Consider the following 17209-nt stretch of genomic DNA (forward strand, 5'->3'; position numbering starts at 1 on the left):
CCAGTAAATAACAGCATGCTAAGATAATATCTTCTTTTACTTAAATATGCAAACTTGTATCCAGTGAAGGCCTGGGCTGGCCACTAGGTTAAAGACCAAGGGCTCCTCAGGACAAGAGAAAACGTATTTATTGTTTGTTACCCATGAAGCTAGCAGTGCCTTCTTTTAAAATAGCTCTGAAATTTTTGTTACCTAGAAGGAAATTAGTCAAACCGGATCCACTTCCAATGGAGAGAACAGTTCATGGTAGCAGTCTCTTAAACTGAGTTTAATTCTCGACAACATAAAGTCAGGGACCCTTTTGGGATTAAAGAGGGCTCCTCAATAAACAAGAGGTGCTTTGGAGAGAATGAGTCCTCTCATGTGTGGTCCACGATGCTAATCTGTGAAGACTGCAAATCTTTGAGAAACTGTGAGGCCTATCCCTGTGTTTGGGAAGGAGTTGAGCAGCTAAGAGTCTGAATGAAGAGGCTGTTTCAGGGAGACTTCAGAACTTTCACAGAATGCACTTGCAGGCACTGGGGGTGCGGGTGGGGGAAGCTGGGAGTGCCTGATGTGCTGTGAATAAACGAAGCCCAAACACATTTATCTAAATCAATGAGTTAATGCAGATTGCTGCTGCTTTTTTTTTTTAAATCAATATTATTCTTTTAGATGCTAATTTAAAGATCCATTATGCCTGAGATGCCCAGGCACTGGTTAGAATTAATGACGTACTAGTGTTTAGCTAGAATGAAGGTGAGGAAGCAGAGGTGGAAGTCAGCCTGGGGAATGTTTGCTTCTCATGCTATGGGTCCAGACTGTGCACGTTAGAATTGTGTGGGGATCTTTAATAAATTCTGATGCCTGGTTACAACCACCCGACTTTCTAATTTAATTGGTATGGAGTGTGACCCAGGCCAGGGGATTTAAAAAATTCCCCAGGTGATTTTACTGTGAAGCAAAGTTTGAGAACCACTCTGCTGATGGCTTCCTTTAATTTAACAAACAGTGGAAACCTGTGTGTTGGGGAAGGCAACTATCTTATTCATATGTGTCTTCAACACTCAGAATAATCCTGATAATTCTAAAATTTATTCTCCTCAGAATGTGTATCTGTATTTCTTGATCTAACTGAATAACTGAAGGTCCTAACACTATTTGGTCTTATGTAACAAGGTTAGGAACATAAATACCCTCCTCTAGAATCCACTAGTAAAATACCCAAAAAGCTTCTGTTTTATGATGAGATAGAGGAGGAAGAGGTATAAATGATTAAAAATGATTTAAACCAAACTATGTAACAGGCTTTATATTTCATGCTTCACATATATTACTTTATTTCACCCTCTCAAAAATCCTCTAAATTACACATTAGGCCTGCCATGTTATAAAAGGATAAACTGAGGCTCAGAAAGCTGAAACGATGTGCCTAAGGCTACATGCCCACATCTCTCTGGTCAAAAGCCAAAGCTCCTTCTCCTGCAGCAAATCTCAAAGTCTATAGAAGAGTCCTTGTGTGGGATTTGCTGACATCACATGGGCTTCACCCCTCTGCCCTCATCACTAAGTTCTCTTCACATGGTACTGCTTTCCATATTTGAACATAACTTTAAATTCTTCTTTGATAACTTTTCAACAGCCATACACATAGGTGGAAAGCATCATTGGTTTTATGAAAATCCCTGAGGCTAAATTTGGCCCTTAGAGCAAATTGAAAAAGAGATGAAGCCCCTTTCTATGTCTCTGAGGTGGAAATCTATGGGAAGAAACCAGCATAATCTGGCCCAAATCACAAGGAAAACAAGGCATTTCTAACACAGCTACCCGGACAAGAAGAACCTGGGTAAAAAGACTTATGCCAAAACCATAATAATCATATGAGTTCTCTAATCCTAATATTAGGATTATTCTGAGTGTTGAAAACACAATGATTAGTGTGTCTTCAACTAATAATCATTTATTAGTTGATGCTTAATAGATATCTGTTGAATTAATTAATGTATAACACTAGGGATACGTCTTAAGGTTTCTATTTTATTGATGAGGGAATTGAAGCTCAGACAGTTGAAACAGCTTCCTCCAGGCACCATTGCTGAGAAGTGGGATGGCTCAGATTCATATCTGTTCCTGCCTGGCTCTAAAGACCATACTCACTACCACGGCATTAGCCTGTTCTTTATACTGTTTCTTTAGTCCCTGCTGGGGATGGATGTCTTCCTATGGATTAGTTGGGACTGCAGTCTTCTAGTTTTTATTTTTCCCTTACCCCCTCCTGGTTAAAAAGCAAACAAACAAAAAATGTATTCCTCATATTCCTAACCCCTTCATCATTCTCTGACTAAGGGGATAACAGGAGCAGGGGACAGCATGAGGAGATGCGGCAGGAGCCCCAGCCAGCCACTGCATCTGTATCACACTGGAAGCAACTGAGCTTCTAGTGAGTAGCCACACAGTGTTGGGATATCTGGAGAGAGCCAAGGATGACCAATTGCCATGAGAGAGGCTATAGGGTTGAATCAGGTGTGAAATCAGCTCCAAGGAAGCTGAAGTGTGAAAGAGCAGAAATGATGAGCCAATAGATAAAGCCAGTTTCTCATCCCAGAGGAGAAAGGCGCTGATGCCCCAAAGAAGTTGAGGTGCCATGGAGAGAAGAATGGAAGAGGGAATAGGTAATTTTGGAGCTACTCTTTCTAATTTCAGCACCTGTTTCCCTACGATGGGCTACACATATATTTGGGGAAGGAACAAAGGGAGAGAGACAGTAAGAAGGCAGGGAAAGAAAGAAGGAGAAAAAAAGGAAGCAAAGAGGAACAAGTGAGCATTTGCCGCTCTCAAGACACCTGGTCAATAGGAATGCCCTTCTTTATCAGCTGCATGACCTTACATTGGTCACTTAACTTCTCAATGCCTCAGTTTCCTCATCTATAAGATTTCATTGTGTGGGTGAGGATCAAATAAACATTGTCTGCAAAAGAACAAATTATAAAATGCTATGCAAATGCAGTGAACTAATATGATTATTATGGTTTTGGCATAAGTCTTTTTACCCAGGTGGTTCTTGTCTGGGTAGCTGTGTTAGAAATACCTTGCTTTCCTTATAATTTGGGCCAGGTTTGTTGGTTTGTTCTCATAGATTTCCACTCCAGAGACATAGAAAGGGGCTTCATCTCTTTTTCAATTTGCTCTAAGGGTCAAATTTAGCCTCAGGGATTTTCATAAAACCAATGATGCTTTCCACCTATTTACATAGCTATTGAAAAGTTATCGAAGAAGAATTTAAAGTTACATTCTAATATGGAGAGCAGTACCATATGAAGAGAACTTAATGATGAGGGCAGAGGTGTCAAGCCCATGTGATGTCAGCAAATCCCACACAAGGACTCTTCTATAGACTTTGAGATTTGCTGCAGGAGAGGGAGCTTTGGCTTTTGACCAGAGAGATGTGGACATGTAGCCTTAGGCACATCGTTTCAGCTTTCTCGGCCTCAGTTTATCCTCTGTAACATGGAAGGCCAAATGTGTAATTTAGGGGATTATTGAGGGGGTGAAATAAAGTAATATATGTGAAACCTGAAGTATAAAGCCTGTTACATAGTTTGGTTTAAATCATTTTTTAATCATTTATACCTCTTCCTCCTTTACTTCATCATAAAACAGAAGCTTTTTGGGTATTTTACTAGTGAGGATTCAGAAGGCGGGCATTTGTGTTCCTAATTTTGTTACACAAGACTAAATAGTGTTAGGATGTTCAGTTATTCAGTTAGATCAAGAAATATAAATATACATTCTTAAGAGAATAAACCCACAAGAAGTGACTGTATGAAAACATGCATGGGAAAGTTTCAGCTAGTGAAATAGTACGAGGTGACCGGAGTCTTGATTCTGAGCCTGCATGGGGTGTGAGCTATTAGTAACATCAGCCATAAGTGCTGGCTGGGTGCAGAGGATATGAATGCCCGTGGTTGATGTTCCTGGTTCAAACTTTTCACATCCAGCTGGGTAGCGGCTTATGTTGGAAACCCTCTTTTGTGACCAATTTAATTGTGAGTAGAGCAGATCTGGTTCAAATCTCAGCTGTGTCCACTGTTAACTCTGAAACCTAAGCAAGTTATTGCCCATCTCTAATGCTCACCCAGCTTTTGTGAGTTGCTTTCTGTGGTTTTTCTTATTGTTCTGAGTCGGCGTGGCAGCAGCTCACCAAGACCACGGAGAATTGAAAGCCAGTAGTTCAGAGGAAAGGAGCAATAAAAACACTTTCTGCTGATCAGGTACCTACCATGTTCCAGACATGGAACTGGGATCTTCATATACAGTGTTTTAAATCCCACCAGAGATCTTCAAGGAACCACTATCCTCAGTGTTCATAGGAGGCTCATAAAGTTAAATAGTTCATCCCAAATTACATGTATTCATAGTGCTGGAGCTAGGATTTGAATCCATCCAGGTCATCTGCCTCCAAAGCACTATTCTCTATGCCACAGGTAAGGTTTAGGCCAGGGATTCCCATGTGTTTTCAACAATGGACCACATGCTCAGAAGTCCTTGTGTGTGCCAGCCCTGTGAGCGTGGTTGATAAAACTGATGGCAGATTCAGAGGGTCAACACCACACACATGTAAATTAGATAGAGCTCAAAAGTTAGTAAAAGACATATGGCGATGTTGTGCAGGCCAATTTGCCCCACTCTCCTTACGATCCATGGTATTTCATAATGCTCCAATTTGATGGCACAAGTGGAATTAAATGAACAGCTTGTATTGAATGACATGCTCTCTTGGCCACTGTGAATGCCACTTATGCTAATGAAGCCCCTGGAGTGTCCAGGAGGGCAGGGGACTCTGCCATTTATATCCCCAATGTCTGGAACAATGGCTGCCACACAGAAAGTGCTCAAATATCTACTGTCTGAATGAATGAATGAATGAATATGGCTGGGTGCAATGGTGCATGCCTGTAATCCCAGCACTTTAGGAGGCTGAGGTGAGAGGATCTCTCAAGCCTAGGAGTTCAAGACCAGGCTGGGGAACATAGTGAGACCCTGTCTCGACAAAAAATTAAAAAAAAAAAAATTAGCTAGGCATGGGGGCCTGCCCATGCCTAGTGGTGTATGCTTGTGGTCACAGCTACTCAGGAAGCTGAGGCAGGAAGATCACTTGAGCCTAGGGGATCAAGGCTGCAGTGAGCTGTGATAATGCCACTGCATTTCAGCTTGGGTGACAAAGCAAGACCCTGTCTCTTAAAATAAATAAATAAATACTGCCGGGCGCCGTGACTCACGCCTGTAATCCCAGCACTTTGGGAGACCGAGGAGGGTGGATCACAAGGTCTGGAGTTTGAGATCAGCCTGGCCAACATGGTGAAATCTCGCCTCTACTAAAAATACAAAAATTAGCTGGGCGTGGTGGCGGGTGCCTGTAATCCCAGGTATTCGGGAGGCTGAGGTAGGAGAATTGCTTGAACCTGGGAGGTGGAGGTTGCAGTGAGCCGAGATTGCGCCATTGCACTCCAGCCTGGCGACAGAGCAAGACTCTATCTAAAAATAAAATAATTACTTCTATCATTTTGTTTAGTTTGATGTTTCAGTGTTTATTAAGTGTCAAGTGTTGAGCTAAAAGCTTTACATATATTGTTAGCTCAATTGATCTTTGTAACAACAACCTTATAAGACAAATAGTCTTTTTAAGTTCCATGACATACCTGCACAGAATGTGCAGGTTTGTTACATAGATATACATGTGCCATGGTGGTTTGCTGCACCTATCAACCTGTCATCTAGGTTTTAAGCCCTGCGTGCATCAGCTATTTGTCCCGATGTTCTCCCTGCCCTCACCCCCCCCCACCCCCTGACAGCTCCCCTGTGTGTTGTTCCCCACCCTGTGTTCTTATTCTTGCTCTCCCACTTATGAGCGAGAACATTTGGTATAAAGCGGAGATAAAGACTATATGCAAAGACAAATGGGCTTTATCTCTGCTTTCCAAATGAGGAAAATGAGGCTTAAAGAGGTTAAGTAACTTACCTTGGCTGAAAATTAGTATATCTTGGATTTAAATTTTGGCTGTGTAAGTCCAGAGTTTGAGTTCTTAATCACCACCAAACAATAGCGCAATTTCATTAAGACTAAAGTCTTCTGGCAAAACCCCAGGTGGATAAGACTCAGGGGACCCCATAAAGTTGAGTTACAGAAAGGATGGAAACACACATATTCTGGAACCTGTTGGTTCCTTTCCCTTCACTTTGCCTGAGAGATTAGTGATGAGACTGAATGTCCTGAGAGAGCTGCATTTATTTTCCTCGGGGACAACTCAGCATCTCAAAGGAAACTGCCTTCTTATGGTCATGCTATGGGGAATTCCTGTGACATCGTTTTTCCAGTTTCTATGGACCTTGATCATCCACTGCTTGGCTAAAATAAAAGGATTAAAAATTGAGGGGAATAGTACTTGTTTTGAATGCCTGTGGCTCTTGAATGAGGAAGCTATCTGGTAGCATTCTTGCATAACTGTGTATCATTTCAAGACATGTTCATTTTGGCCAGAAGTCTGAGTGTACTGGCACCAACACTGGTCACTCTGTTTGAAAGAGAGAGAAAGGGAGGAGAGAGAGAGAGAAAGAGTGAAAGAGAGAACAGGAAAGCCTGAAAGCACTCAGCAGACAAGTCCCTCTGAGTTTGGAGGCATCCTAGTCTGGTTTTGATTTTTGTTGTTATGTTTAAACACTTGCCGTTTTCTAATTCTGGTGAAGTCCATCTAGATAGCAATGATCTCAAGTGTCCTCCCTTGATTTACCTCTGGGACAGTAAAACCACTCTTGGTTGCTTTGGGTTTGATTCTCTTCTTGAGGGATGTACCTGGCCTTTGGCAGAGGGGTTCAGAGTGGACCCTTAATCTAGGAAATTCACTCAGTGCCACATGATCACCTAATTAGCAAGATAGCATTTTCCTGTTGGCCATTCTTGCAACCCCCTATAGATGTGGTAATGAGGATCCTTAACTTAAGGAATGTCAGAAGAACTGCACTTTATTTTCAAAAACTATTCTTACAAAGGGTGGGGGAAGCTCTTTTTCCACTTCCTCCTCCAAATTAGCCTTCTCGCCCCTGCTGAATCCTCCCCACTTGCCGAGATAGAATGCCTTTCCTACAGCATGACAGGCAGTAGTGGACGTACTGGATAACAGCCAGCAGGACAGAGCTGGGTACACATCCTTGCTTTGCTTCTCATTAGCTACATGGCTTCTGGCAAGTTATTTAACTTCTTCTCCATGCCATAGTTTTCACATTGGTAAAATGGGATTAACATTTTCCACTCATAGAGTAGTTGAAAGAATTAAATGAGATCATGCATGTAAAGTATTTGGCATGTAAACAGTTTCCAATAATGGTTCCTATTTTTTATTATTTATTTATTTATTTATTTATTTATTTATTTTTGAGACAATGTTTCTGTCTGTCACCCTGGCTGGAGTGCAGTGGCAAAAGACAGAACACTGTAGCCTCTAGCTCCTGTGTTGAAGCAATCCTCTTGCCTCAGCCTCCTGAGTAGCTGGGATCACAGGCCTGTGCCACCATGCCTGGGTATTTTTTTTACATATATATATTTTGTAGAGATTAAGTCTTGCCATGTTGCTTAGGCTGGTCTTGAAACCCTGGGCTCAAGTGATCAATCCCTTGGCCTCCTGAAGTGCTGGGATTATAGGCATGGGCAACCATGCCCAGCCATGATTCCCACTTAAAAACCCTATAATTCATAATCGTATTATATGAGTATGTGTGTATATGCATCACATGTATGTTTATGTGTATAGGTATATATATGTATGTGTGTTTTAAGTATTATACACAATATAGGAATATAGACTATGGAATGAAAGTAATAATGATACAATATTATTTTATGAAGAATGGTAGTAATAATGAGAGTAAAAATAATAGAACGGCTGGGCACGGTGGCTCCAGCCTGTAATCCCAGCACTTTGGGAGGCTGAGGCGGGTGGATCACCTGAGGTCAGGGGTTTGAACCCAGACTGGCCAACATAGTGAAATCCTGTCTCTACTATAAATATAAAAAACTAGCCGGGCGTGGTGGCGGGTGCCTATAATCCCAGCTACTCCTGAGGTTGAGGCAGGACAATTGCTTGAACCTGGGAGGTGGAGGTTACAGTGAGCAGAGATTGTGCCACTGCACTGCATCCTGGGCGACAGAGTGAGACTCCGTCTCAAAATAAATAAATAAATTAAAAACAATAATAATAATAGAAGAGTGAAACTCAGTTCCCAGGATAGAAACATGTAACATATGGAGTCTCCCATAGGTCTTATGGTTGAGGTGCTCTGCCTTCTGGGAGCGTTTGGTGCTGGCACCTCCTGAACTTGCCTGTTGTCACCTGCCCCAGTGTGTCAGGGCAAGACCATAGACAGAAGTCCTCTGACAAATGCTGACCGTGACAACAGTCTTGGCAAACTTCAGTAGGCAGAGATGGGCTGTCCCCATTGGGAAAAAGAACCACAGGCCTGCCACTTCTCTGTGAGGCCGCCTGGACTAGATGCAAATTTAATACTCCCCTGTCATGTTGCTAAAACCCTCTGAGACTCAGGTGACAGCTACTTGCTTCATTTGACTGTATGGCCTACCTGGAGTGGGAGGCTGGGAAGATGGGCTTCTTCTGAGCAGCCCCTCCCGCAGCCTGTGCAGCTGCCTGCTAATAGCTAAAGCATGTAAGTGTGCGGGCTGTGGAGACTCCTGATAACTGCGGTTCCATCGTGTCCCTCCAAAGTCCTGGAATGACATGCAGCTCTTGAAAGCCAGCAACTCGCAGCAGACACTGAAGTCCTGCCTTTCCCCACAGGGGTTTGTTTCTGTGCATGTTTCTCACTTTGGCCTTAATTATGATGAGTACGCGTTATAATCTGTCCAGGTGTGGGGTATGATGGCCAGTGCTTGAGTAATGAGATGGGAAGAAACTCAGCACACACCATCATGAAGAGGCTGAGGCTCAAGGAGTGAACAAATGAGCCTAGGCTCATGCGGTGCTGGGTGGAGAGCTCAGGGCCCTGAGGGCTGTATGTTCTTTGGCCTAAGAGTGGATGAAGAAACAGTTTGCTAGAAGTGCTTGCACCAGGCCAGGCATGGTGGCTCATGCCTGTGAGCCCAGCACTTTGGGAGGTCAAGGCGGGTAGATCACTTGAGGTCAGGAGTTCAAGACCAGCCTGACCAACGTGGTGAAACCCCATCTCAACTAAAAATACAAAATTAGCTGGACGTGGTGGCACACGCCTGTAATCCCAGCTACTCAGGAGGCTGAGGCAGGAGAATCGCTTGAACCTGGGAGGTGGAGTTTGCAGTGAGCTGAGATCACCCCATTGCACTCTAGCCTGGGCAACAAGAGTGAAACTCTGTCTCAAAAAAAAAAAAAAAATGAAATGCTTGGACTAGCCTCTTTTCAGGGCACATGCCTCAGTATATGGTATCCCTTTAGACTTCAGAGGTTGTAAATTAGTAGCCTCTGGGAGAAATGCAGCCTGCATTTGTGTTTGATTTGTCTAGCAAATCAAAGCGTTAAATCAAAGTGTTAAAACAATTGATAGGAATAACTGAGTCTTTAGGGAGAGAATGGAATCCACACACCTCATCACTTCCCACTGCCCTGTCCTCATTCCATATCACTTCTTTCTGTTGCTTGTCTAGCCCTGCAGTCATCTGATTTTGCTACATCTGCTTGATGTTTCCTGATAAAGATGGTCCTTGACCAACTAGGTTGGAATGTACTGGATACTGTGACTGCCTGGAGGAATGTCATAATGCTTCTTAGCATATTAAAATTATGAAAAGTTCTATAGTTAAAAAAAAACTCACTGGTTTATCTTTGCTTAAGCCAATGCTTTCCAAAATTCTTTGATTGCGAACCCTTTTCCCCTACAGAATACCTAGCACCATCCTATGGGACAAGAGGCTCCAATAGAACATAGTTTCAGAGACAATGGCTTTGGAATGTTGTTTTATCTTATAATCTACATTTAAAAGAATAAAGAATAAATCTCTAGATACAAAATCCAATAACCATAAAGTAAAAGTCTGACAAATATGACAGCCTGCAAATTAAAATCTTTCTATGCAATGGAACAACAGGATAAGTGGGAGAAAATTCTTGTAAAATATGTTACTGTAAAAGGGTTACTATTAATGATGCATGAAAAATTTTAAAAACCAATAAGAAAAAAATACCCAAAATAAGAATAGAAAAAGGATATGAACATGCAATTTAGTAAATATAGATGTTCAATAAATATGGAAAAGATGCTCAACCATACTAGCCACCAAAAAGTTGCAAATTACACATCAGATCAACAAAAATCTACAAGATTGTATGTCCAATGGTAGCAAGGTTATGGGGAAATGGTCAATTAAAGGAAATTGGTTACTGTATCTTCCAAGGTAATTGACAATCTCTCCTAAAATGTATATGTCTATATGTTTTCATGCACTAATTCTTCTTTGAACAATCTATCCTACAAGGATCTTTACAGATATACAAACAGTATTTTTTTTACCACGTATTTATAATAAAAATTGACAATAGCATGGAGCCTATGATCAGGGGTGGGCTGAAGAAGGTATAATGTACCCATTTGAGCAGTGCTGGGCAGTGGTTAGAAATGAAAAGAATCCACTCTATGAGAAGGCAGGATGCCACTGGTGTGCAGTTAACTACAAAAAGCAAGTTGCAGACATGTATATTTACATACACACACATGCACATGTAGGTTCATGCATAGAAAGCAGTCTGGAAGGAAATTCATCACAATGTTAACTAACAGTGGTCCTCCCCTCTCTGGGGAGGAGAGATTGGGACCCAGAGGAGGATGCGATATAGGACTTTGGAAACAATTTTCACCCTCATGCCTTATCTGGTATGAATGTTTTTACATCAAACATAGAGTATTGACTTTTTAAAATTTAAAAATTATAAACAAGATTAAAAAAGGGATGAAGGCATAGAGAGAGAGAGGGTTGCTATTTGAGTAAGGTGACCATGTAGCTTAAGGGTTACGAGAAATGGCTCTAAGTGCAGCCTGCCTGAATTTGAATCCTGGCTCTCCACTTGCTAACTTTTCAACCCCAGGCTAGTTATTTAATTGTGATGCACCAGAGATTCCTTATTTATGCAAATAATGTTTCCCTTGCAGGGTTGTAACTAATAAGCTAATCTATTAGCAGTCTTTGGTACAGCTTCTGCCCTGTTGTAAATTCTTAGAGAATAATCATAATCATTATTTATGTTAAGAATCTCAGTTGTATATGGCTAGGAGGAAGATTTTCTTTAGGAAAGTAATTTTCACGATTTTTTACTTGAGTCTGATTGTTAAAGGGTGATACATGTTAGTAACAGAACACCTAAAATATACAGAAAAATAAATAAAAAATGCATACTTCCATTAGACCCTTACACATTATTTTCCATTCATGTGACTTACAGTTCTTTCTACTGAAACTGTAGTCTGCCCTGCTGCTTAGCAAGTGGTGTTGCTATGCAGGGGGTGAGTGTGGCTCCTATCTCTGGATGCATCAGTTACTTTAAGAGAGGAAGCAATCCACTACAATGCTCAGCTTTCCCAACCCAGCTAGTGGACCAAAACATACCCACTATTATTCACAAAGTGGCCAGGGAGAGGAAATATGAATAACTTGTCACCAGCAAAGCAATTCAAGTACACCATCTTCCATTAATAATATGTCACCATTTATTGAGCACTAAAATAGGCCTGGTGCTCTGTTGGATGCCTCACATATATTATTTTTAATCTTCGCAATCCTTCAGAATACATATAACTTTGTCTATTTCACAGATAAGTAAATGTCTGAGAGGTTAAGTGTTTTGTCCAAAGCCTCATGGCTAATAAGGTGTGGAAACAGAATTTGCAGATCTATAGAACTACAAGGTCTGTGGTCATTCTAGTCTATGTTATTGCCTCCTTGAAGACAGGAGTTGTGACTTCACTTTTGTATACAAAGAAGTCCGTGCTTATGTTTTGATGTCCATACAGAGGCTTCCATCAATATTGTAATGTCCAGGATGCAGAATCATTCTCCTCTGATCTGTGTCATGCTGCAAAGTACCCTCTTTGCCAGCACAGACTTGTTGATGTGAGGATCACTTATATGTATTTTACATTCCACCTAGGTGGCGGCTTTGAAATACATCCCATCTGTCCTGCATGATGTAGAAATGGTCTTTGATGCGAAGTTACTCAGGTGAGAGCTCATGTTGTACTTTCTTGGGCTCTGCTGGCAAGCTAGGGATTCAGAGTGGGAGGAGGGCTCTTATGGGGAGCTCCAGATGGGCACTCAGCTTGGGGATGGGGAAGACCTGTGGCAGGGGATGTTTTCAGGGTTTCCGGTGTGGTATTTTTACCTTTTGGTTTTCTTGTGCCAGACTTTGGTGAAAACCAACTGTATAATAAGCATCCCTCTTTGATGATATGAAAATTAATCATATAGGTTAAAAAAAATTGATGTTTGAGATGAATGTTTCCATTTCACCTGGGCCTGAAGGTTATTTTGGGTTCCACTCTTTGCCTTGTAGACCCCACAGTTGCAAATGGAGAACAGCCTAAGCATACCTAAAGAGATAATGGAGACAGCTCCCTTTTGCCTTCTACTTCTTAACTACGTTCAGCTCATAGATGAACACGTTATTTTAATGTGATTATGCTGTTGGAATAGGGGCATTTCAATCAGATATACCTTCTTCTTTTTAAAAAATGTATTGTAGTTTACAGATAACAGACTTAAAAGACTTTTTATATTTAAATACTTATAGATTTAGAAGAGAGTTGCAAAGATTACATACAGAGAGTTATCATATGCCCTTCACCCAGCTTCCCCTAATGTTAACATTTAAATAACTATGGCACATTTATAAAAACTGAGAAATTAACATGGATACAGTTATTTTAACTGCACTCTGGACTTTATTCAGATGTTACCAGTTTTTTCATGGATGTCCTTTTTCTGTTCATATGGAAGATTTTTGCTAGCTCCTTCTCATCCTTCAGACCCTCAGGCTAAATGTTATCTTGGAAAAGCTACTGCTGGATATTGTAAATAAATTAAATTTCTCCCCCAGCCCCTGTGCCATTATTCTCTGACACAGCTCCCTATTTATTTCCTCCACTGCATACATCGCTGTGTATTGATTTGTTTGCTTCTGTGTCATTTGATGACCTCTATTAGAATGTAAGTTCCATGCCAAATGGGACCCAGTCTGTTCCCATTATATCCCCATTTCTCTGCGCTTTGCCTGTCTCATATTAAGTAGATGTTTAATAAGTCCTTGAAAGAATAAATGAATACAATAAGTTTATTTTGGAAAGCCGACAAGGACTATAATTTTGTTTCAGGGTATTTTGATTCTCACCCTATTTGGGAAGAGCTATCTCCCTTTTGATGTCCCAAACTGGTTCTAATCCACAATTTTTCATAGTTTTAAAAAAAATTAGAGATTTTGATTTTAAGACTTATCATAAAGCATTACCAAGCATAAAACATTTGTAAGTAAAATGGTATGGTAATGAAGTCAGAACCTTGTTTTGAACTCTTGTTTCTTTAACTTCCTAGCTGCATAACCTTAGAAAAGTTAGCCTTTCTAAACCTGAGCTTTCTAACTTATAAAATTGGGATAAGTATTGTATATAGCTTGTAGAGTTATGAAGTCTACATGGCATAATGAATGCAAAATGCAAAGTGTGTGCTTGGTACACGGTAACTGCTCAGGGCTATGGGTATTTTCAGATTTTTACGTCTCTTTTAATGCTACTAATATTCTATACCAAGAACAACTTGTACATTTTTACTGAAGGCTTACCTTGCACCTCATGCTCTGCCAGGACTTGGGGGTTTCCCAGAGCTAGAGGTCCAGGGATGGACTGTAAGTGCTATGAGCTGGGAGACATGGGTCTGCCTTGCTCTACCAGCTCCTATTTTTCCTGCCCTCAGCCAACTCCTGTATGAGTTCTACACCTGCATCCCTCCTGTGAAACTCCAGAAGCAGAAAGTACAGTCTATGAATGAGATAGTCCAGAGCAACCTCTTTAAAAAGCAAGGTGAGTACACAGCACCCTTGCTGGGGTGGGGTAAGGGGCCAATAAACCCCACATCATTTTGGGGAAGCTTGGCAGGAGAGGGCAACCTGTCCAGTGACTATAACATCTCTTTTCTCACAACTCCCTTGGTCTGCATAAATGCAAAAAGTAGAAAGTAGCTGACAACTTAGATATCAGAATCTAAATTGATTTTAGGAAAGCTGAGGTTGCATTGTTTATTTCTCTTGAGAAAGTTTAATGAGGTTTTTTTTTCCCCCTGTATGGTTTATTATTGCTGTCTTTAACTCAAAGGGAAATGGATAAAGTTCCTTTTAGTAGAAAGAGCCTTTCACGGGGAAGTTCTCAAAATTTTGAGTGTGTAAGAATAAACTGGAGAGCTTATTAAAATGCTAATTCCTGAGACCTAGCTCGAAGAGTCTAATTGAGTAGGAATTAACATTTTTTAAAGTTTTTAGAAAAATGTAAATTATTTTGGAAAAGGTAACGCATTTACATGGATGAAAATGAAAAGGTATGAAAGGGTACCATGTGGAAATGGTCCCTCCAGACCCTGTGCATGGCTAATCCCAGTCCCTTCTCTGTGGCAAAAGGCATATCCAGTTTCTTGTGTTTGCTTCTAGGCACACTCTGTGGATGTGGAATCAATTACGTATATGCTATATACTCTTTATTATTATCATGCAAATGGTAGCATGCTATGTAACTGTTCTGCACTTTGCCTTTCTTCACTTAATGGTATATATTTTTGGGAGATCATGGAATGACAGTGGATTTGCACAGAAGTTATGTTCAGAGCTTCTGCTTACCCTAAACTGGTCACCACTGGGCCCCACTGGCAGAAGACTTAGAGTTCCCTATTTTCAAGGTCAGTCAACTGGATGTCGATAGCTCCATCAGATTTGATCAGGCAGGATTCAGAAGCTCATATTCATCCTCTACCTCATCTCTAGGAATGCTCTGCATGCCTAGATTTTCAAAATGGATCATGCCTTTTGCTCCATGTAAAAGAATGACCTGTTCAGAAACTGCATTCCTTCACTCCTTTCTGTAAGGGTGAAGAAATGACTTTTCAGGGTCAGTACTTTTTTCTGTATCCTAAGACCCAGCCTCTCCAATTTTCAATTTCTCTATCCACACTGGTGTCAATAATAAAATGCGAAGCAAACTGTGCAAGAAACAAAGGGTCTTAGAATTCAGAGGATCAGCCATCACCCAACTGGAATTTATTCAGGGAGTGAAGCCTGAATATTTATGCAAATTGCCTGGTAATCACAGAAATATTCAGGAACCACTTCACTGTAAAGATGTTTTTTTCCAATGCCTGGTTAACATGGTGCATCCAAAATTGCTGTCTGTATCCTCTCCCCAGAGTTAAGGGTAGGAGGAGGATGTGGGGATGAAAATGTTCTTGTGATTTTAATATTTATGTGTGTGGTTTCCTGACCCTTTAGACAGATATGTGACAACAGATTAATCCAATAAATATGTAGTTTGTTTGAGCCAGGTGGTTTTTGTGAGGTTATGGAGACTAATTCTGGTAAGTCTTGTTGCACTTCTTGTGTCACTGTGCCTTTTTAAAGTGAGACTTCCATGGTTTTAAAGTTCTGATTTCCACCTCCAAATAAATTTCCCTCACCCCAAAAGCATTGAAATATGTCTGCCCCTTCCTGCCCTGGAAGCCCCTCTCAGGATTTCAGGTGGTGCCACTGCAGAGGCAAATTGAGTCCCATCCTAGAGACATGACAAGGACGACTCTAGCTACGCATATGGTGTGGCACAGGCAGCAGGGAGTGGGCTGCTTGGCTCTTCTTCATTGTTCAGAGCTGCTGTCATTGTCAGGGGCCCGGCTTGGCATCAAGGCCAGATGGAGTGCTAGCACGGGCCTGGGCTGGGCATGTGGTGTCAATTCCAGCCTCTTGGAAGTCGGAGTAATTCCTTGACTGCAGCCACATCTCCAGGGCTGGGAGGAGGCCTCTGAGGGTTAGCATCATGGCAGGGCAGGCTGGACAGCTGCTGCTTCTCAGTCCTGCTGTGTGTCTGGGTTTCAGATTCAGTAGAAACCCTCTGATTAATATTAACTGACAGAAGGCCAGCCCTGGCGTTGTACACAGTTAAAAAAGAAAGCAAAATTCTTACCTTTAAATACATACAGAGACTAGAGGTAGACAAAGTATCCTTTGGGGACCCCTTTCAAAGAGGAGGCAAAGTGTAATTAGTGTAGCCACGCTCGGCTCACATGTGAAAGTCGTATGACCTTATTCACAGCTGAAAGGTAACTCCTCTCCCACCATCTATTTGCTAAGTGAGCCCTGTTACCAAAATAGTCCCAAAGGGAAACTTCAGCTCATCCCCTTTCTTAAATCCTCAAGTTCCCAATGAATAAAACCTGAATTCATTATGCTTACTAGGTGTCCATCGACCTCGGGTGAGCATCTCTCTTTATACCCTTAAATAAGGTGAGTGTGATTCCTCTGGCCAAGTTTGAGCAGTAATGAAATTCCTCCTGTTATTCTCCCTGTGAAGTGTCCTGTGCCTCGGGGACGTGATTTGCTTTGAGCCTGCACTCATTTAACTGCCAGATGTGCAAATTGCCTGGAGTATTTTCAGTGACAGTTGCTTGTACTCACAGCCTTGAACATTTGTATTGACATTAAGCGGAGGGACCAGAAGGCTTTTAAGCACTTTCTGGGATTTTGGCAGACTACCCTATTGGCCTGTCATCAGAAGGATCCTATGGAGAAGGTGGAGAAGGGTTTACTGGTTAAGGACGGTGGTTCTTGGGTCACACTAGACCCGAGTTTACTTCCTGGTTCAGCTTTTTACATGACTGTGTGACTATGGGTAATTTTCTAAACCTCTCTGATTCTCAGTAAGCTCATCTGGAAAGTGGGAATAAGAACAATAACGTCTGTCTTAGAGGGTGATAGTGTGGGCTAATGAGATGGATGATGCATTTAAAGTACTTGACACAGCACTGGGCTCAGCATAATGTTTCATACTAAACAGCAATTGTTATTATTGGTGTTGTGGTTGTTTTTCCTGCTGATCCCAATTTCCGTGCTGACCTTTAAATTCCTTGCAATAAGGGCATCCCTTAACGTTTGATAGTTGCACACAACCCTCAACTACA

The 17209-nt window shown here is 41.5% G+C and overlaps 1 protein-coding gene across 8 annotated transcripts in view; it reads left to right on the forward strand.

Moving 5' to 3' along the window:
- DOCK2 (dedicator of cytokinesis 2) overlaps positions 1-17209 on the forward strand; it is a 446108-nt gene that overhangs the window by 110272 nt on the left and 318627 nt on the right. For all 8 annotated transcript variants that reach the window (NR_156756.1, NM_004946.3, XM_011534449.3 and 5 more), the window contains exons 24-25: positions 12159-12229; positions 13973-14079. Coding sequence is in view for 7 of the 8 variants with exons in the window: in NM_004946.3 (NP_004937.1) it covers positions 12159-12229; positions 13973-14079 (178 nt within the window). In the remaining variant the exon portion in view is untranslated. The remainder of the gene's footprint in view (positions 1-12158; positions 12230-13972; positions 14080-17209) is intronic.

Source organism: Homo sapiens, chromosome 5, assembly GCF_000001405.40.
Source record: "Homo sapiens chromosome 5, GRCh38.p14 Primary Assembly".
Taxonomy (NCBI): Eukaryota; Metazoa; Chordata; class Mammalia; order Primates; family Hominidae; genus Homo; species Homo sapiens.